Below are 22,641 nucleotides of genomic sequence, written 5' to 3' on the forward strand. Positions count from 1 at the left end.
ATCATTACAAAAGAGGAGCTCTCATGGAGGCTATGATGAACATGGTATCCCTCAGATGACTTTATACAAGTATTTGATGTCACAAATATATACTGTGGTTGACAATGATCTTGGAGATAGCTGAGTCACTTTCGTCCTTTCAAAACCTACCAGGTCACTCAGAAATACACTGTGAATTATCCTAAATTTGGGATGAGTCCCTATCATTCCTAAAATGCCTAAGGGTCATGTCTGCTTGCCTTATTGGACTAAAATATTTTATAACACATGAAACATAAATTTGTCAATTAAATGCAGTATCATGTTTTTCATAGTTTGCAAAAGCACAGTTAATGATGCAAATAATTTCCTATTTTTCATTCTGAGGGAAAATCATTAATAAAACCAAACTCCTTATTAGAATTGAAATTCAGCAGTAAGAGGGCACAAGCCACCCATAAAGGCAAGATATAAATTAGCAGTGAAAAAAACAAGCCAACTGATTATAACGTCCAGATGGAAATGAATAACTGAATCATTCTTTGTCAAATCAAATAGCATCTTAATAAGTTGTTGCATCATCTCTGTTGATTCAATTTAACTGGAAGATATCAGAAAATGACTATGACCTGCACAAGTATCTTCATTTCTCGTGCTCATTAGTATTTGGCCTATGAGTCCTCTCCTTTTATTTTGGAGGTGAATTCACCTCTAAAATGGTTTTTTGGTTTCTAATCCTCAACATCATCCCATGTTAAAAAGAAAACTGGCCCCAGGCTGGAATGAAATTATTGGAATTAAGAAACTGGGGCCCCAGTGGTTGGTCAAATCTTTTATCAGAGGAAGAATTCAAGCACTTCTTTTACCAGGCAAGCTGGTAAGTACAAGTTGTCATGGAAACAGGATGTATTCAAATTATATGAGGAATGACGTTCCCCATCTAACTAGGTGTTCATCTCATCTAAATGGGGAGAGATTGGTGTAGCTGAAATCCATTATATTTTTTTCAAATCTGCATTAAAAACAATAATTTCCTTTATTTTACATAGGAGTACACAGGCACAGAGCCTCATTCTCATAAAACGAAGAATTAAAATTACTTGCAAAAGAATTGGTGCGTAAATAAAAAGACATAAAACGAAAATGAATCCTATGATATAAATCTATTGATGCATAGTGAAGGGTGGGAGAATGGAAATCAGATAATATAATACCTCCATCTATCATGGGACATATTTTTCTTCAATAGCATTAGTAACTAGTTTTTCTACAGAATGATCCAGGCCAGAGCAGTTCTCTGCAAGTTGAGGAGACTTGCTAATAGGTGTAATGTCACCACCCTGATAACAGCAGAGCACCTTGTGAATCCACAGATTCCTAACAAAGAAACGCAATACTGTGCTAAGCAGGTACTTCCCACTCCTTAATAAGGCAATTGTTGAAAAACACATGGCACAAACTAATTTTGTGGGGAGGTTATTAGAGCATGAAGGGCCCATGAAGTCACAGCTCTACTTAAGAGGCAGCCTGAAGTTCTTTCTGGATCAAAGTAACCCAGAACATCTTTTCATTTTTTTTTTTTCAAGTGAAGATCATTTATCCACCTCCCTCCAAAAAATGAGAAGAAAACATTTTCATGTTTTACTGGTTAAAATGCTGAGGTCTTAATGAAACTCTTGTCCAAGCACTTAAGATAATAGTAATTCAAATAAAAATACCAATAGCTCCAAAATCTACAAAGAAATTTTTTAATTCAACAATAAGAAAATGAACACCATGATTTTAAAATTGGACAAAAGACCTGAGCAAACATCTTGCTGATGATATACAGATGGCAAATAGGTACCAAGAAAAGATGCTTAATATCATATGTCACTGGAGACTGCAAATTAAAACAATGAGATACCACTATACACCTATTAGAATGTCTAAATCCCGAAACGTTGGTAACACCAAATGCTGGTGAGGATGTGGAGCAACAGGAACTCTCGCTCAATGCTAGTAAGAATGCAAAATGGTACAGCCACTTTGAAAGACAGTTTGGCAGTTTATTACAAAACTAAACATACTCTTACCATATGATCCAGCAATTATACTCCTTGGTATTTACCCAATTGAGCTGAAAATTTACGTCCACACAAAAACCCACACAGAGATGGTTATGGCAGCTACATTCATAAATGCCATAACTTGAAAGGAGACAAGATGTCCTTTAGCAGTCAGTAGATCAGTAAACTATGGTACATCCAGACAATGGAATATCATTCACTGCTAAAAAGCAATGAGCTATTACACCATGAAAATACATTGGGGAAACTTTAATGCATATTACTAAGTGAAGAAGCCAATCTGAAAAGCCACATACTGTATGATTCCAACTAACATAACATTGCAGAAAAGGCAAAACTATGGAGACAGTTAAAGGATCAGGGGTTGTCAGGGGTTCAGGTGTAGGAGAGGAAGGAATGAATAGGCGGAGCAAAGATTTTTATGAAAATAAAACTATTCTGAATGATACTATAATGGTGGATACATGTCATTGGACACTCATCAAAACCCATAGAATATACAAATCCGAGAGTGAGCCCTAATGTAAACTATGGACTTTGGTTGATAATGATGTGTCAATATAGGCTCCTTGATTATAAAAAATGCACCCATCTGGTGTGGCATGTTGATAATGGAGAAGGCTATGCATAAATGAGGATAGGATAAATGGAAAACTCCTTGTACCCTCCACTCAATTTTGCTGTGAACCTGAAACTGCTCTAAAAAAAGAAAGTCTATTAAAGAAAAATATCAACAGCAACAATAGCTACCATTTTGTGAATCCTTAACTATTCTCATCTAATTCACATATCAACCTGATGAGGTATTAACAAGTATGATTATCATCTCCCACTTTACACACCGGAGGCTCAAAATGGTTAAATAACATTCCCATCATCACCCAGCAAGAGGTATGGAGTTCAAACCCTAAGTCTGCCTGTGCTCCTAACAGTTGCAACTTCAGGAAACTTTAGGAAAAGTTTCACTTCTCCGAAGTCATCTCTATGATCTGGAAAATGAGGTGAGTCTTTGACTTATGAAAATATTCAAGTTATGCCCTAAATGTTCAAAACAGAGCACTGTGGCAGAAGGTGCTTGAATATCTGGTGTACAAAACATATGACCACCTATTAAATAAACAATTTAGAACCTGGAAAATATCAGAGTTCAACTACAAATTAATAGCAGTCTAATTTTTACTGTAAGGTGGGTTGAGCCACCTGCTTTTAGAGAGTGACTGCTTAAGAGGAATAAACCCTTGGATTCAAGAATCTCAATGAACTCCAATCACAAAAAACATGAAGAAAATCACACCAAGGCAGGGCAAGGGCATAATCAAACTGCTACAGTGCAGAAAAAAAGACACATTTTATACAGAGGAACAAAATAAGAATTAGGCTGGGTGTGGTGGCTCACATCTGTAAACCCAGCACTTGGGGAGGCTAAGGCAGGGGGATTGCTTGAGGCCAGGAGTTCAAGACCGGCCTGGGTAGCATAGCAAGAACTCTCATCTCTACCAAAAAACAAACAAACAAACAAACAAACAAAAAACAACAACAACAGAGATTTTTTTCATAGGAAATCATACAACTAAGATGATAACAGAACAATCTCTTTAAAGTACTGAAAGAAGAAAACCTGTCAACCTAGAATTCTATACTCAGTGAAATATCTATTCAAAAATGGAGAAGATTCTCTGCCAGAAAGATGGAATAAGACATGCTTTCTCAATTCCTCCCACGAAGTATAGTGAAAAACCCTGAACATTATATAAAATAAACATAAGAAGACTCTGAAAGAGGCCAAAAAGTGGAATACCAGTTAGGGACCTCAGTAGTTAAAGAACAACACAGCAATAACTTCCCTGGGTTTTCTTTTTGTCTCATATCTCTTAGACTCAGAGATGGAGAAGCTGGCAACCTGAAAATGCTAACAAGCGCAGACAAGAAGAGTCTAGTTTCTCTAGCCAAAGGAGCAGCCTTGCAAGACAGAAAACTAACTATGCCAGCCAAATGCAACAGAAAAAACTGTGATCCTTCCCCTACCTAAGCCAGCAAGGCCAAGTGAGAATCTTAGACTTTTACCCCCACCAGGTAGAGTGGATTAAATAACAAGCAAATACACAACAGCAAAAAAACGTGACGCAACAAAATGCTATTTATAAAAAACTCACTTCAAATACAACAATGTGGGTAGGTTGAAAGGGAAAAAAAATGAAAAAAGAGATATCATGTAACAATAACCCCACAAAGTTAAGAGTAGCTATATAAATATCAAATAAAGCAGATTTTAGAGTAAAGTTAACAGAGACAGAGAAGGACATTACATAATTATAAAAGAATCAACCCTCCAGGAAGACATAATGATCCTACATATATGTGCACCGAACAAGAGAGGCTCAAAATACATGAAGCAAAACTTGACAGACCTGAAAGGAGATAGGCAATAGAAAATTATAGCTGGGAACTTCAACAGCCCACTCTCAGCAATGGATAGAACTGCTAGACAGAACATCAGCAAGGATATACAAGAAATGAACAACAAATCAGACAGCAGGATCTATTTGTCATATATAGCACTTTAGCAGAACACAATTTTTTTTTCAAGAGTTCATGGAATATTCACCAAGATAGATTACATTCTGAACCATAAAACAAAACTTAACAAATGTAAAATAAATCAATACCAGAAAAAGAACCAGAAAATTTCCAAATGCCTGAAAATTGAACAGTATATATATATATATATATATATATATATGGGTTAAAAAGGAAGTCTCAAAGAAAATTCAAAGATACATAGACCTGAATGAAAATGAAAATACAACATATTAAAGCATGTCAGATGCAGCTAAAGCACTACTGAGAGGGAAACTTACAGCACTAAATGCTTACATTACAAAAGAGGAAAGGTTTCAAATTAACAGCCTAAATTCCTACATTAAGAAACTAGGAAAAGAAGAGCAAAGTAAACCCAAAGCAAGCATAAGGAAGAGAAAAATAAAGAGCAGAAATTAATAAAATAAAAAATTAATAAAATCAAAACAGAAAAATAATAGAGAAAATCAGTGAAACAAAAACAAAAAGAGAGAAATAGAGATGTTTTCAGATATGCAAGAGCTGAAAGTATCCACTACCAGTAAATCAACACCATAAGAAATGTCACAGGCTGGGAGTAGTTGCTCATGCTTGTAATCCCAGTACTTTGGGAGGCCAAGGCCAGAGGATCACCTGAGGCTATGTGCCCCAGACCAGTCTGGGCAACATGGTGAAACCCTGTCTCTACCAAAAAATTAAAAAATTAACCAGGTGTGGTGGCGCATGGCTGTAGTCCCAGCTACTCAAGAGGCTGAGGTGGAAGGATCACCTGAGCCTGGGAGATTGAGGCTGCGGTGAGCCGTGATGGCACCACTACACTCTAGCCTGGGTGACAGAGTGAGACTCTGTCTGAAAAAAAAAAGAAATGTCATGGGAATTCCTTCAAGAAGAAGGAACATGATGCCAGAAGGGAACGTAGATGTACAGAAAGAAACAAAGGGCACTGGAAATGATAACCACATGGGTAAAATATAACATAATTTTGGTATTTTTAAAATCTCTTTAAAAAATAATGACTGTTTAAATAAAAATAATAACAATGTACTATGGGCTTTATAACATGAATAAAAGAAAAATCTATGACAATAACAGCACAGAAGTTGGGAGGGAGAAATGAGAATATGCCACTGTAAATTGTTATAGTGTATGTGAAGAGGTATAATATCACTTGAAGGTAGACTGTGATAAGTTAAAAATGTACACTGTGAATCCTAAATAAAGCACTAAAATAACAAAGCAAAGAATTATAACTAATAATCCAACAAAAGAGATAAAAAGAAATTATAAATAATATTTAATTAATCTAAAAGAAAGCATAAAAATAGGAAAAAGGAAGCAAAGAGCAGTTAAGACAAATAGAAAACAAAAAGCAAGATGACAGATTTAAATCTTACCATATTAATATTCGCATTAAATGTACAGTTTAAATATTCCCAATTGAATTTCAGCCATTATTTGGTTGAATATAAAAGCAAGAACCAACAATAAGGCTGCCTACAAGAAATGCACTTTAAATATAAAGGCAACAATAGATTAAAACTAAAGGACAGAGTGTGCATTTTTCTTTCTGCATGTAGTAGACTCAAACATTCCATTTAACAGATATTGGCCAGTCATGGTGGCTCCTGCCTGCAATCCCAGCACTTTGGGAGGCCAAGGCAGGTGGATCGTTTGAGTCCAGGAGTTTGCGACCAGCCTGGGCAACATGGCAAAACACCATTTCCACAAAAAATACAAAAATTAGCCGGGCATGGTGGTGTGCACCTGTAGTCCCAGCTACTTGGGAGGCTAAAGTGGGAGGACACCTGAACCCAGGAGGCAGAGGTTACAATGAGCTGAGATCGTGCCACTGCACTCCAGCCTGGACGATAGAGCAAGACCCTGTCTCGAAAAACAACAAAACGAAACAACCAAATATTTACTGAGTACCTACTATTGTCCAGGAATATATGAGAAAACCTGTTAAAGGAACAAAAGAATTGTAAGAATTCATTAAAAACCACACATCCCAGCCGGCCGCGGTGGCTCACGCCTGTAATCCCAGTACTATGGGAGGCTGAGGTGGGTGGATCACAACGTCAGGAGATCAAGACCATCCTGGCTAACATGGTGAAACCCTGTCTCTACTAAAAATGCAAAAAATTAGCCGGGTGTGGTGGCATTCACCTATAGTCCCAGCTACTTGGGAGGCTGAGCCAGGAGAATGGCTTGAAACCAGGAGGCAGAAGTTGCAGTGGATGTGACTGCACCACTGCACTCTGGCCTGGGCAACAGGGTGAGACTCCATCTCAAATAAAATAAAATACAATAAAAACAAAAAAACACATCCATGCACATGCACATGCACGCGCACACACACACACACACACACATCCTGGAATCCCAGGCATAGATTGTAAGCAAAAGTAGGAGTTACATTGATCCTTAGCTTGATGTTATGAGCATATCCTACAATGAAATAATTTTTAAAGTAAAAAAAGAAGGTACATTGTGCTAATTCTAATCAAAAGAAAGCTGGAGAGGCTATATTTATATCACACTAAGTAAATTCCGGAGCAAAGAATATTATTTGGAATGAAGAGGGTCGATTAGTAATATAAATGAGTCAGTTCATCAAGAGGATATAATAATTCTAAATATTTTTTACTCCTGATAACAGAGCCCCAAGATACATGAAACAAAAACTGTTAGAAGTGCAAGGAGAAATACAAATCCAGAATTATAGCCAGAGATTTCAACACTCATCTCTCAATAACTGCTAGAACAAGTAGACAGAAATTTAGTAAGAACATAAAAGATTTCAACAACACTATCAACCATCTTGACCCAACTGACATTTACAAAACATTTCACCCAACAACCATACAAAACACATTCTTTTCAAGGGTACACAGAATGTTTACCAAGATAGACCATATTCTGGGTCATAAAAGTCTTGATAAACTTAACAGAACTCAAGTCATACAAGTATGTTCTCTGATACAGTGGAATTTAATTAGAAATCAATAATAGCAAGATCTCTGGGAATCCCCCAAATACTTATAAACTAAATAACACACTTCTCTATAACTCATGGATCAAAAAAGAAATCAAAAGGACATTAGGAAGTATTCTGAAATGAATGAATATAAAAAAACACCTATCAAATTCATGGAATTCTACCAAAACAGTTCTTAGGGGAAAATTTATAACACAAATGCCCGAATAAAGATCTCAAATAGATGGACTCAGCTTCTGTGTTAAGAAACTAGAAAATAAAAGCAAATAGGATGCAAATTAAATAGATCAAAGGAGATAATAAATATCAGAGCAGAAATCAATGAAATAGAAAACAGAAAAACAGTAGAGAACATCAATGAAAGTAAAAATCTGGTTATTTGAGACTGAAAAAAATGATAAACTTCTGGCAGGACTATTCAGGGAAAAATGTACCACTATCAGAAATGACACAGAAGATATCAATACTGACTTTATATTATAGCTATGTAGAAGATAACAATGAAATGTTATTAACAACTTATGCCAATGAATTGGTAACACAGATGAGATGGACAAATTCCTTTAAAGACATAAACCACCAAAATGTACTTGGTAAAATATATAACTTGAACAGCCATATATCTATAAAAGAAATGAAATATATAGTTAAAAACCTTCCCCCAAAGAAAACTCCATGCTCAAATACTTTTACAAGTAAATTCTACCAAACATTAAAGAAAAAAATTCTACATAAACTTTTAAAAAACAATTGAAAAGGAGAGAATACATTCCAAGTCATTCTATTAGATCACCTTCATCCTGAACCAAAAGACAAAGCCAGTACAAGAAAAAAAGAAAAACAGCTGGAGATCAATAACCCTCATGAATATAGATGTAAAAATTCAAAACAAAATTTTAGCAAGTATAATACAAGAATATACAAAAAGGATAGTAGTTCATGACCAAGTCATATTTATCTAAGGAATGCAAGGTTGGTTTAATATGGGAAAGTCAATCAATACAATTCACTATTTAACAAACTAAAAATGTAAATCAGTGTGGTTATCTCAATAGATGCATGGAAAGCATTTGTCAAAATCCAACATTCACTGCTGATTTTAAAACAAGCAAACAAACAAAAACCTCTCAGCAAAGTAGGAATGGAAGGGAACTTCCTCATCTATAGGCGCCTATAAAAATCCATAGCTAACATCACGCTTAATGGTGAAAAACTGAATGCTTTCCTTTTAATATGAGAGAAGAGACCAATAAGGTTAGCTCCAGTCATTTCTATTTAACATTGTATTAAAGGTTCTAGCCAGTGCAACAAGGCAAGAAAAAGAAATAAAAAGGCATCCAGACTGAAAAAACGGTAACATTGTCTATTCCAGACAAGACGCATGTCTATGTAGAAAACCTGATAGAATTTACCCTCAAAAAACTGAAATAAGTGAGTTTAGCAAAATTTCAAAATATGAAGTCAATATACAAAAATCAATTATATTCTTTTTAGGGTAGAAATGAACAATTAAAAATTTTAAAAATACCATTCATAAAAGTATCAAAAACACAAAATGTTGATAGATAATTCTGACACCAGATATACAAGAACTATACACTGGGAAGTACAAAAGACTGCTGAGAGAAATAAAAGAAGAGCTGAAGAAATGAAGAGATACACCTTTTTTGTGTATAGGAGAGTATTGTTAAGATGTCAATTCTCCCCAAACTGATCTAGACACAACCCCAATTAATATCCCAGTAGGCTTTATCATAGAATTAGATAACTTCATTCTAAAACACATATGTCAATGCTAATGACCAAGAACAGCCAAAACAACTAGAAAAAGAAGAACAATTTGGAGAAATAATGCTCCCTGATTTTAAGGCTTATTATAAAGCCACAATAATGAATACAGTGTGACATCAAGATAGACAAACACATAAACTCAACAGAATAAAGAGTCCAGGAAAAGACCCACACATATATGGACAATTTGTTTTTGACAAAGGTGCAGTAAGTTTTTCAACAAGGGGTGCTGGAACAGTTGAATATCCATACATTAAAAAAATGAATTTCAATCCATTGAAATTCAATCCACCTCACACCATTTATAATATTAACATGGAACATAAAACTAACTGTAAAAAACCTAAAATCATAAAACTTCTAGAAGAAAACATAGGAGAAAATTTTCACAACCATGGTTTAGGCAAGAATTTCTTAGATATGATGTAAAAGCATAATTCATAAAATAATTCAAATTGATAAACTGAACTTCATCAAAATTAAAATCTCTGCTCTTCAAAAGACACTATTAAAAAAATAAAAAGACAAGCCAGAAACCAGGGGAAAATAGGATTTCCAAATCTTATATCCAAAAAAGAACTTTTTTCCAGGATGCATAAAGAACTCCTAAAAGTCAATTAAGAAAAATAAATGATTTATTGAAAAAATATGGCAGGTTTATCAGCAAAGAAGATAGGTAGATGGCAAATAAGCACATGAAAAAAATGTTCAATATCATTGGTCATAATTGCCAACCCAGTAGAATTTTATTCCCAGCCAAACTATCAAGTATGAAGAAGGTAAAGTAAGAGCATTTCCAGATACGTAAAAAATCTTAAAATATTCACCTCCGGCTGGGCACGGTGGCTCATGCCTGTAATCCCAGCACTTTGGGAGGCCGAGGTGGGTGGATCACAAGGTCAGGAGTTTGAGACCAGCCTGATCAACATGGTGAAACCCCGTCTCTATGAAAAGTACAAAAATTAGCTGGGCATGGTGGCACGTGCCTGTAGTCCCAGCTACTCAGGTGGCTGAGGCAGAAGAATCACTTGAACCTGAGAGGCAGAGGTTGCAGTGAGCCGAGACTGTGCCACTGCACTCCAGGCTGGGTGACAGAGCGAGACTCCGTCTCAAAAAAATATATATATTTACGTCCAAAGCAGCTTTCTCAGGAAGCTACTGATATATGTATACCACTTGAAAATGAAACAAAAGAATAAAACAAGAAAGAGAAAGATGTGGGTTCATTCCAGGAAACAGGAAGTCTCACAGGGAGAGAAGAGAACAGCATGCTTTGGAAGGCAGTGCCAGGGCCACAGCTGTGCAGGGAGCTGTCCAGACCAGATGAAGTAAGAGAATGAAGGAAGGGTGGTAGCAGGGGTTTCTCTGAGAAATGCAGCTGTTTATCCAAAATGTTTGACATATGGAAATCAGACCACTGCAAGTTCACATGGGAGTCTAAGGAGAATCGAACCCAAGTCATACTTTTTATGTGATTTATCATAAAAATCTGTCTGCCTTATCTCTAAGATTTATTTTTACAGATGCTCTCCTTAACAACTGTTACAATTCTGCAAATGAAAGGGTCTCTACCTCATCTAAATAAAAACCCAATGCAAAGCTTGGTGCTGGTGGCATAGGAAAAATTTATATGTGTGTGGGAGGTGTATGTATATAGAGGGTGGGCATTTAAAAGAGCCAAACTTTCATATTTTATTACAAGGAACTCGTTGCATAATAGGTAAACTAGCAATTCAAGAAACAGTAGGTACATCCTTAAAGATGTGTCTTACAGGAACTTAAAGATGTGTCTTATGGAACTATGAACCTGTTCCATAGTTCAGAACATTTTATATGGATGTACCCCCCAAATCGCCACCATATAAAGTATATTCACTGTAATTCTCTAGAGTAGAAAGTATCAATAATCGATGCACTATTTGATTTTCGACCAAATAAGAGAGAAAGGAGATGAAGGCAAGGATTACAGCAGTAGCAGCTTTGATATGCAATATTTATACCATTATTCCATGCACATGAAGAGATGCTTAAGGAATAGGTTTGATCTTGTAATCTTCGGCACTCCCAGTAGCACTGTAGTCCTGGTGGTTGCATTGAGTCTGTCAATGCAAAATTTAGGATCACAACATGACTTAACCACTAGAGAGAGTTTAAACAGCTAGTAAATATAATGCAAAAGAAAGGGGCCACATTTTTTAAGAAGGCCTTTTTTTCTCACTTGGAGCCGTTGCTATAACTTGCTTAGAAAACCATTATAGAAATATCAATAATGGCATTGTAAATAGTGATAACATGTTAGTGTAGACTCCTTGTTTGTTTCTTTTCGATATTGAAAGTGTTTATTTTCAGGTGGTTAAAATACTGCCACCTATGCCGTTAGCATAATGGTTTTTCGCAATTCTGTACTAGCAGATACAATCCCAGTTTAATACTTCTATCATCCCAATAGATTTTCTTTCAATTATATATTAGTCGACAAAGCTTTCTGTACATATTTGTCAAGAATTCAGGCTTTTGGTCCAGACAGACTGGAATTTTACCTTGCTCTTCTACTTTGTGCTGTGTGACCACAGACTATGGTTAATTGCTTTAAAACTCAAGGCTCCTCATCTGTCAAACTGGGGTAGGAGATTTTGTAGGAGTAAATTATTAATCATATATGCAAAACAGCTTAGTGCATTTTTGGATCTAAAAAATGATAGCTTTTCTAGTGGCTGTGCTGTAATATAAAGCTATTGGTTAAATAAAACTTTCTTAATCTCTCTTCCCAGGTTTACCTAAACATCAAAGCCCCAAAGCACGTAAACGTTAAGGCCCACCAAAGGGGGCAATCCTTATGCACATGATCATATGGCAAGGCATGACTTATTTCTGTGGCCAGCCTCAGGTAAGAGTACAAGAAATCACACCTTAAGAATCTGCACTCACTCAGAAAGCCATAACTAGGAGTTCATGTTACTTGCCAGGCTCCTATCCACCTTTTAATAAAGACACCTCCATAGGCCACAGAGGTGACCTCACTTTCATATGAATTTTTTTGATAATTCTGTTTTCTTATGATATCCACAGAGTTGTGGAACTATCACTATTACCTAATTTTAGAACATTTTCATCACCCCCCAAAAAGCTCTGGACCCATTAGTGGTCACTCTCCAATCCTTTCCCCCAGCTCCCAGCAACTACTAACCAACTTTCTATCACTATGGATTTACCTGTTCTGGGCATTTCATGTAAGTGGATTTGTACAATATGTGGTCTTTCGTGTTTGACTTCTTTCATTGAGCACAGTATTTTCAAGGTTCATCCACGCTGGAGCATCACATACCAGTACTTGTTATTATGAGTGAATAGTATTCCACTGTAGGGATATATGACATTTTATTTATCCATCCATTCATTCATTGACCTTTGTGTTGCTTTATCCTTTTGGTTATTAGGAATGACGATGTTATGAACATTTACATGTGGGCTTTCATGTGGACATGTTTTCATTTCTCTTGGGTAAATGCCTAGGCGTGAAATGGCTAGGTCATAAGGTAACTCTATGTTTAACTTTTTGAGGAGTTGCCAAATCATTTTCCAAACCAGCTGTATCATTTTCCACCCCCACCAGCATCATCTGAGGGTTCCAATTCCTCCATATCATCACCAACACCTGTTATCATCTACATTTTTGATAATAGCCACTATAGTAGATATGAAGTGGTATCTCAGATGGTTTGAATTGCATTGTCCTATTGACTAATGATGCAAAGTATCTTTCCATGTGCTTATTGGCCATTTACATTTCTTTTTAGAGAAATGCCTATTTAAAGCCTTTGTCCATTTTTAAAATTGGGTTGTCTTTTTTGAGTTATGAGTTCTTTATATACTCTGGATACAAGTCCCCCATCAGACACATTATCTGAAGACATTTTCTCCCATTCTGTAGGCGGGCCTTTCATTTTCTTGATGGTGTCTATTGAAGCACAAACCCTAAAAATTTTAATGAAATCCAATTTATGTATTTTTTTCTTTTGTCACCTATCCTTTTGGGAACATATCCAAGAAACCACTTCCTAATCTAAAGTCATGAAAATTTACTCCTATATTTTCTTCTAAGAGTTGTTATAGTTTTAGCCCTGAGTTTTAGGTCTATCATCAATTTTGAATTTTTTAAAATATATGGGGTGGGGTTGGGGCGCAATTTCATTCTCTTGCATGTGGAGAAAGAAAACCAACTGTTAAAGAGTTTTCACTAAACACATTTTGCTTAAATGAAGTTTAACAATATGCTATACATATACACATAAAGATATTCAGTTATTCATTCAACAAATACAGACAGCAAGCACAATATTTTGAGATATGCAGTGATCATTTTTCTTCCTCTATTTTTCCCTTTCCTTCCCAACATTCAAGTGGATAGCAGGCTCTGGGCTTCCTTGACTAGGAGAGGTTTACGGCAAGGTGGCTTCCCGGCTTTTATTTTTTCCAAACACCTGAATTTGGGGAACACAGCTTCCCAGGGAAATTGATTCCAGTTGACTCTTGAACAACATGGGTTTGAACTGCATGGGTTGGTTTATATGTGATTTTTTTTTTCAATCAAAACAAGATGGTAAATACAGTATTTGAGAGATGTGAAACCTGCATATATGAAGAGCTGACTTCTCATATATATGGGTTCTGCAGGGCTGGCTATGGGACTTCAGTATGCATGGATTTGGGTGCACGCGGAGGCCCTGGAACGAATTCCCTGTTTATACTGAGGGATGACTATAATTACATTGTCCAGAAGAACAAGGAAGAACTGGGTTTTCACCCTCTTCCAGAGTATATAGGGAGTCCCTGGAGATGAAGGTAGGAGGAGGAGAAGAGAAGGGTACTGAGAGAGAGGGGAGCTGCACCCAGTTTCTCAGATATACTGCTGAGAAGAATACCTGTGGATGCATCTAATATCAAATGCATCCTCAGCCCAGATTCTCACACCACAAGTCTGGCACAAGGCAGCCAAGAGTCACCAAACCACGATGGCTTGGAAGAACAGGAACGATATGCCAACAACTGATGAAATATGAGAAGGGACACCCCACACACATGCGCGCACTATCCTGAATGACCATATACTAGGCAATTTAGGCACCTGCCTGAAATTACAGTATATTCTGAGAAAGCAAGGACCCATGATGAAACCCAAGATGCACTAAGGCTACCTCTTTTTTTCCCCACCAGCAAGACAAAATGGCAACACAGAGTCAGAAATTAGGTTTCTAGGAAGCAGCTGCACTTCTTGCACTCTTGATTATATAGACTGACACTCATACTTGCCACATACATATTGAGAACCTACTGTGTACAGGGCATCCTGCTAGGTTAAGCTGAGGTGGGAAATACAAAAGTCAATTAAATCATGGTTAGCCAAGACATTTATATAGTCAGGTAAGAGCAAATATGCATAAGTGTAGTTAACCATTTATTGCACACGACTTGTGTGCACACCTTGTGCTACACTCTTTGTAAATGAATCTCATTTAATTGAATCTTCCCACAATGGGCTTTTGATATTCAGACGTTCAGAGCAGGCAAGAGACTTGCCCAATGAGCCAAAGTCTGGGCTCTTTACAGTTAGGTACAATCTGGTTCATGTACAACTACCACTAATGCACAGCTAGTCAGTGGTGGAAACTGGACATGAACCAGAGTGGTCCTCACCGCAAGGCCCACTTTCATTGTCAAAGTTATGACTTCGTCCCATGGGGAGGTCAACTTGAGTGCTGCCCTTTGATAATCCAACATCCACTGGGCCTAGACTTTGGCTCACTTTTTCTAAGAGTTGGGATGGAGTTAAGTCAAACCAACCTTCTCTAACTTGGTGTTTAATGTACCTATTGGCAGGTGACTGGCCAGAAGCCTGAGGTTAAACAGGATACACTGGCCAGACTGGACCTCATGATTAGGGAACCCATGACCTTGACTGTATCTGCCAAAGGGTGCCAACCAGTTCCTCTGAACAGTCAGGATTTCTAGTACCATTCACACCATCTATACGTACATCAAAGAAGTGACATAAATGATTTGGGGAGTGGGGGTGGGAAATACTTTTGTTTCTATGTCCAAAAGGAATAATTTGATTATACAAGAATAATGGAAATTTTCTTATAGGAAAAAAATGTCATAGAGCTGTTTTGCTTTGAGATGAAGGCATGCAATTTGGTGCCTAAGAAAGCATTTAAAATTCTTGCCTGCAGCTTCCTAGAAACAGTAAAAGGAAAATACGTTGATCCTGGCCAATGAAATGTGAACAGTTTTTCCTTAAGTATTAATCTACTGAACAAATGTTGATAATGAAAGAAGTAGGCATATAAATGCTGTGAGAGAACCATGATTTATGTATTTTCTACTGCTGCTTCTGCTATTTGAGCCTGGGAAAATGACTAAACCAAATCTCAAGAGCAGCATTTTGCACCGTAGATAGAAACAGAAAACAGAAAATTTTAAGTTATAAGGAATTAATAATGTCTCTTCTTTTGTGTCCTTTTCTGAAAAATAAATCTCTCCCCATTTGGGAGACATAATCACTTAACTTCCATTTCCTTATACCTAAACTCAACTTCAGAGCCCAGGACCCTCAGAAATCATTTGGTCCAACGTCCCATTTCATAAATGGACACATTTGAGATTCCAAGAGGTTAAGTGACTTGTCGAACACCATGTGCTCATTAGAATAAAAAATATGAAGATTTAAAGTGGAAGGTAGTGACCTAGGAGTGGGAGGACCTGGGTTCTCCCTCCCACTCAGCTATTCATGAGCTTCTCTGTTTGTAAAATTCAAGTGTTAGGATTAGATGGTTTTGAAAAATCCTTCCCTCTCGAAAGGGGTTATAATTCTGTGCCCGGGAGCATCAGTAGTTTGTGTATGTTAGTTTACTGCTTTTATAAACTCAAAAGCTTTCTTCACAGTTATAACAAAGAGGCAGTGTTTGTGGAGATCATGAGGATGGACTCTAAACACAGAGTTCCTCAGCTGGGTGTGGTGGCTCACGCCTGTAATCCCAGCACTTTGGGAGGCTGAGGTGGGAGGATCACTTGAGCCCAGGAGTTCTAGACCAGCCTGGGAAACATAGGGAGACCCCATCTCTACAAATAATTGGTTTTTTTTTTTTTTTGAGACGGAGTCTCGCTCTGTTGCCCAGGCTGAAGTGCAGTGACACGATTTCGGCTCACTGCAAGCTCCGCCTCCCGGGTTCATGCCATTCTCCTGCCTCAGCCTCCTGAGTAGCTGGGACTACAGGCGCCTGCCACCATGCCCAGCTAATTTTTTGCATTTTAATAGAGACGGGGTTTCACCGTGTTAGCCAGGATAGTCTCGATCTCCTGACCTCATGATCCACCCGCCTCGGCCTCCCAAAGTGCTGGGATTACAGGTGTGAGCCACCGCATCCGGCCTCTACAAATAATTTTTTAAAAATTAGCGGGGCATGGTGGTATAAGCCTGTGGTCCCAGCTACTCAGGAGGCTGAGATAGGAGGACGGCCTGAGCCTGGGAGGTTGAGGCTGCAGTGAGCCATGATGATGCCACTGACTCCAGCCTAGGTGACAGAGTGAGACCCTGTTTCAAAATAAATAAAGTCAGACTTCCAGCTCTTACACTTACTTGAAAGTAAGTGTAAAGTAAGTGTAAGTGGTGAAAGCGTGAACAAATTAACCCTTCTGCCTCCTCTGCAAAATGAAGACAGTAACAGCACATACCACATCTGGCCATTACAATGATTACATTAAATAACACATGTCGAGAATTTAGCACAATGCTTGGCATACGGCAAGTGCTCAGTAAAAGGTGGCTGCCATTAGTATTACCATAAAGCAACCAGAGTTGGTGAATTTGTGTGGGTTATTAAGAAGGCATTCCCTCCTCTGGGCAGAGGCAGCCCAAGCGCTAAGGGCCACAGCAAGGCAGGATCGAATTCTCTACAGCCATGGGTCTAACTTTAAACAAAGAAATAAGAAACCATTTCCTACCCTCCCTTGCTCAAGTGCTCACTCTCAATTGATAGCCAATGATATGTTTAAGTGTTTGTTTATAATGTAGGGCTTCTAGAAAGCTCTTCCTACTTAGATGGCTGGAATATTGCTGCTCTTTTCCCTTTTCTTCTTTCTGCCTGGAATGAAGAAATGATGGCTGGGGCGTCGGCAGCCTACTGTGATCATGAGGGAAGGGCTAAAAGATTTTCAGAGATTCAGTCCTTGAGCCAATAAATCAATGTCAGCAACTACTGACCTCCAAACTTCTTCTTTCACGAGGAAAATAAACTCATGTACACGTTTTTTGCTACTAGTATCAAACTGCAATTCCTAACCCATACACCCTCCAAAATCTATTTTCTATCAACATACATTTACAGATGTGCCTGGTCAGCCACTTGCTGCTGGCCACTTAGGAGTCCCAAGTCAGGTGCTCAATAGTTGATTTTCTTGAAAAATCACTTAGATTTTTAAAAAAATATCCAAACTGTCCCCAAGGGCCTTACTATTCAAAGTAAGGTCAGCAGACCAACAGCATTAGTCTCACCCCGGAGCTTGTTAGAAATGCAGAACCTCCGGCCCCATTCCAGAACTACTAAATCAGAATCTTCATTTTAACAGGGTCCCCAGTGATTTCTGCACATAGTGAAGTTTGAGGCTCTGGACTAGGTTTACCGGCTCTGCTCTGTCATCCCTCCTCAACACTGCTGCCAGAATAATGTTCCTGGAGCACACCTAGTCATGTCGCTCCCCTTCTCAAAAGATTTCAAGGGCTCCTGACTGCCTGCAGACTAAAGTTTCGACTTCTTAGCCTGATCATTAAGGCCCTCTATGATCTTGCACTATCCTGAAAATGCCCATCAAGGTGCCTGCCTTGCATGTAATCAGTAGGCAACAAATAATTTTCTGCACAGAAGAAAAAACAAATGAGTGTGGGTGAGAAACAATGCGTTGCTTAATTCTGGCTTTACCATGCTAAGCACTGGGGATGCAGTGGTACCAAAAACCAGGCATGATCCCTTGCCTTCAAAGAGCTTAGAGCCTAGTTAGAAGAGCATGATTTTTAAAAAGAAATGAAAGTATATAATGACAAATTATAAGTGCTAAGAAGGAAATGACTAGAGGGCAGGGATACAGAGTAAAACAGACGGGTTAGAAGGAGGCCCTACGGAGAGGGAGCCTGTTGTGGGGCTGGTCCAGGCAGAGGTACCAGCACATGCAAGGTCCTGCGAGACAAATGCGGTGTGTCTGAGAATCATAACAGGGGCTGCCCTTTCAGGCTTACCCAGAAAATAGATATCCTGGGAGGAAGGTGGCATAGGGTTCACCTTCCAAGTCACTTAAAGATGAAATGCTGCATTTCTTTTCCCTGATATAGGTCCTTCACCGGGATCACGGATGAGTTAGCGAGCAGGGGATGCTGCGGAGTCGCTGTGAGTCCAGCACTGGAAATCAGACCAAGCGAAATTTGAATCCCAGCTCCGCTACTTCCCGGCTCTCAACTCCCTTGACCTCCAAGCCTCTGCTTCCTGAGGTATAAAGTGGGATTAAGGATGGCAACAACTTCGTGATTACTGTTGAGGGAGATAATGCTTGCCAAGCTCCCCAGCACACTGCCACCCACATCAGTGCGCACCTGAGTATCAGCGGTTTTAGGATTACGATGACTATTACTATCGTAAATTACTCCCAGCTTTCGGGCAGAAGGCTCATTCCAGATATTCCTGTCCCCTCTGAGGCCTCCCGACCCTGCCAGCCCAGGCAACCTCCCCCGCGCACGGCCACCGTGACCCCAGCGCGGGCGCCGCCGCCGGACCCCCGTTACCTGGGGCCAAACGCGACTTGTCGCCACCTTGCGTCCTGGGCCCTGCCTCCCTCCCGGCCGCCTCCCGACCCCGCGGCTGCTGCGGAGGCGCCCCCAGCCCAGCCGGGCCCAGGCGGTGCGGGATGCCTCGGCGGGGCTGGCGGCGGCGGCCGCGCTGCGCGCTCCGGCGGAGGGGAGGGGGCTCCGCGGCGGCGGCGGCGGCGGCGGCAGCGGCGGCAGCGGCGGCGGCGGGCCCGGCGGGGGGCAGAGCCAAGAGGCGCGGCGGCAGCAGCGGAGGAGTAGGAGGAGACGGAGGAGGATGCGGGGGGCTGCGGACGGTGGCGAGGCCCTGTCCGCAGTGAAGCCCGCGGCGCCTAGGGCGCAGGGAGTGGCCGCCTCCTCCTGCGCGCACCATTCCTGAGATGGCGGCGGCGGCACAGCGGCGGCTCGGGGAGCCCAGGAGGGGCCGGCCGGGAGCGGGCTGAGCCCCGCAGGACGGGGAGCTCGCCCAGGGCCGGCGGAGCGGCGGAGCTCGGGCCGGGCGGCCTGCGGGAGCGGCGAGGCAGGGGACGGCCCCGGGGCGGAGCGCACGGCCTGGTGAGGCCGCGATGGCGAACGCGAGCGAGCCGGGTGGCAGCGGCGGCGGCGAGGCGGCCGCCCTGGGCCTCAAGCTGGCCACGCTCAGCCTGCTGCTGTGCGTGAGCCTAGCGGGCAACGTGCTGTTCGCGCTGCTGATCGTGCGGGAGCGCAGCCTGCACCGCGCCCCGTACTACCTGCTGCTCGACCTGTGCCTGGCCGACGGGCTGCGCGCGCTCGCCTGCCTCCCGGCCGTCATGCTGGCGGCGCGGCGTGCGGCGGCCGCGGCGGGGGCGCCGCCGGGCGCGCTGGGCTGCAAGCTGCTCGCCTTCCTGGCCGCGCTCTTCTGCTTCCACGCCGCCTTCCTGCTGCTGGGCGTGGGCGTCACCCGCTACCTGGCCATCGCGCACCACCGCTTCTATGCAGAGCGCCTGGCCGGCTGGCCGTGCGCCGCCATGCTGGTGTGCGCCGCCTGGGCGCTGGCGCTGGCCGCGGCCTTCCCGCCAGTGCTGGACGGCGGTGGCGACGACGAGGACGCGCCGTGCGCCCTGGAGCAGCGGCCCGACGGCGCCCCCGGCGCGCTGGGCTTCCTGCTGCTGCTGGCCGTGGTGGTGGGCGCCACGCACCTCGTCTACCTCCGCCTGCTCTTCTTCATCCACGACCGCCGCAAGATGCGGCCCGCGCGCCTGGTGCCCGCCGTCAGCCACGACTGGACCTTCCACGGCCCGGGCGCCACCGGCCAGGCGGCCGCCAACTGGACGGCGGGCTTCGGCCGCGGGCCCACGCCGCCCGCGCTTGTGGGCATCCGGCCCGCAGGGCCGGGCCGCGGCGCGCGCCGCCTCCTCGTGCTGGAAGAATTCAAGACGGAGAAGAGGCTGTGCAAGATGTTCTACGCCGTCACGCTGCTCTTCCTGCTCCTCTGGGGGCCCTACGTCGTGGCCAGCTACCTGCGGGTCCTGGTGCGGCCCGGCGCCGTCCCCCAGGCCTACCTGACGGCCTCCGTGTGGCTGACCTTCGCGCAGGCCGGCATCAACCCCGTCGTGTGCTTCCTCTTCAACAGGGAGCTGAGGGACTGCTTCAGGGCCCAGTTCCCCTGCTGCCAGAGCCCCCGGACCACCCAGGCGACCCATCCCTGCGACCTGAAAGGCATTGGTTTATGAGGGAGGCCCCGCCACATAGACCCCCAACCCAGCCTTTCCCTTTGGCTCGGACGGTGACGTTGTATCTTTTCCTTCTGGCCCCTGTTTAATTTTCTAAGCTGCCTTCAAAATGACTCGAAGTGGACAGACACTTGGATTGTACTGACTCCTTTGGGGGTGGGGTGGGTGAGGAGTAGGATGCTCAGCCCACTCCAGCTCCGCACATTCGTCCTCCTAACTCGACTTTCTTCCTGACAATAGGCCCTGCAGTCTTTTTGTAGCGGTACTGACGTCTTTTATTCCATGTGTGGTTCCTTTTTTTCTTTTTCTATAAAGGCTGTACTAATTTTCTTCATGCAACGTTTCCTAAAGACCATGGCCAGTTTTCTACAGAAGCTATTTTTGACAACCTCAAGTGGCATTACATTTTGCAGTGAAGTAGAGGAACCTAGGGGGACTTCTTCACAAGTTAGATTTCTTGAGGATCTTCTGTTGGAAGCAGGAGAAAGTGGGGGGTGGGGGGAAGTTGTCCGAAATGCCCTCTGAATTGCCGGCTGCAGGGTCCTTGTGCTGCGCTGGTTCTTTGAAAGTCTCAGTGTTGATATTGAACTTAAAGAGCAGAGATGGAGATCAGTAGCAAGGCAGTCATTTTTTTAAAGCAGTAAGTAACAAGTAAGATTTGGTTCCCGGTTTACTTTCTGCTGCTAAAAACCACGTCAGTGACAACTGCTCTCTGTATTATAGCAATCTTGAATGGAAACATTTCTGTCAAGTTGTAAGTTTTAAAAGAGTAAAGTGTTTTGGTTAGTAATGATGTGGAGAAAAATACAGTATTGCATGTGTTCGTGTGTATAGATTGTGGTTCGAGGATTGGGAGGGCTCTGAGAAGCAGAGTACTACATCAAAATTGTTTTAAGTATTTTTTGCCAATAAAAAATTAATTTTATGGAAATGGCTTGTGCTTTGAGAAGCCCAGTTTTATTCTGTCTTATGAAACTAATTTCCACTTTGAAAATTGTTCTTCTGTTGTTTATGGTATAAATGAATGGAATATAATGATATCCTCCTTCTAGGAAACAAAGCATTTCCTTAAAATGTTTGCTAGGTTAAGCTGTGCTGTTCTACTGATGGTTGTTTTAAATTAATAATGAGAACTATAATTTAAATAATATTTCTTTGTTAGACATTATAATGTTAAACTGAAAGACTAAATTCTGCAAGTACTATATAATATTTTTGGCTTATAATGCTACATTTTTATTAATGTACCTTCCGTTTTGAGGATTTATATCTGTATTTCTCTTTGCATTATACAAATATACCAGTATTTTCATTCTGGAGTGGTTGTTTTGTTGTGGTGGTGGTGGTGTTTGAGGCTGTAATAATACATGCGTCGAAGTATGTTACATGCCTCTAAGTATGTTATGTAAGGATAACATGCTCTATGATCCTTTTAGCACGTGTTCTTCAGTTACAGGTTTCATAGTTTGACCATCAGCATATCCAAGAAAAGTGGAGGCTTAATTTAAAATGCAAGATAAAATCTGCGAAACTTTTCTTTAAAGGGAAGAAGCAGTAGACATATATACGGCTTTAAAACTGTTTTTTTATTTGGATGACAACATTTCAATGACTATTCGTTAAATGACATAAAAAAGCTTTTAAGTAAACATATCAAACTCAAGTACAAGCGATCATTTTGAT

At 41.2% G+C, this 22,641-nt stretch overlaps 2 protein-coding genes across 6 annotated transcripts in view; one reads left to right on the forward strand and one right to left on the reverse strand.

The window, feature by feature from the left end:
- EIF4E3 (eukaryotic translation initiation factor 4E family member 3) overlaps window positions 1–20,554 on the reverse strand; it is a 95,411-nt gene extending 74,857 nt beyond the window's left edge. For 2 of the 5 annotated variants that reach the window (NM_001134649.3, XM_047448063.1), the window contains exon 1: window positions 19,996–20,279. The gene's annotated coding sequence lies outside the window, so the exon portion shown is untranslated. Of the gene's footprint in view, window positions 1–19,243; window positions 19,373–19,995; window positions 20,280–20,424 lie in introns of those variants that run through there. The other 3 variants (NM_001282886.2, XM_047448062.1, NM_173359.5) reach the window with 2 other exon arrangements.
- Window positions 19,636–22,277, forward strand: GPR27 (G protein-coupled receptor 27). Its single transcript, NM_018971.3, has one exon. The coding sequence runs from the start codon at window positions 19,831–19,833 to the stop codon at window positions 20,956–20,958; it is 1,128 nt and encodes a 375-aa protein (NP_061844.1). The 5' UTR covers window positions 19,636–19,830; the 3' UTR covers window positions 20,959–22,277.
- Window positions 22,278–22,641: the final 364 nt, after the last annotated feature.

The sequence above is a fragment of the Homo sapiens genome, chromosome 3 (assembly GCF_000001405.40).
Source record: "Homo sapiens chromosome 3, GRCh38.p14 Primary Assembly".
In the NCBI taxonomy this organism is placed as follows: domain Eukaryota; kingdom Metazoa; phylum Chordata; class Mammalia; order Primates; family Hominidae; genus Homo; species Homo sapiens.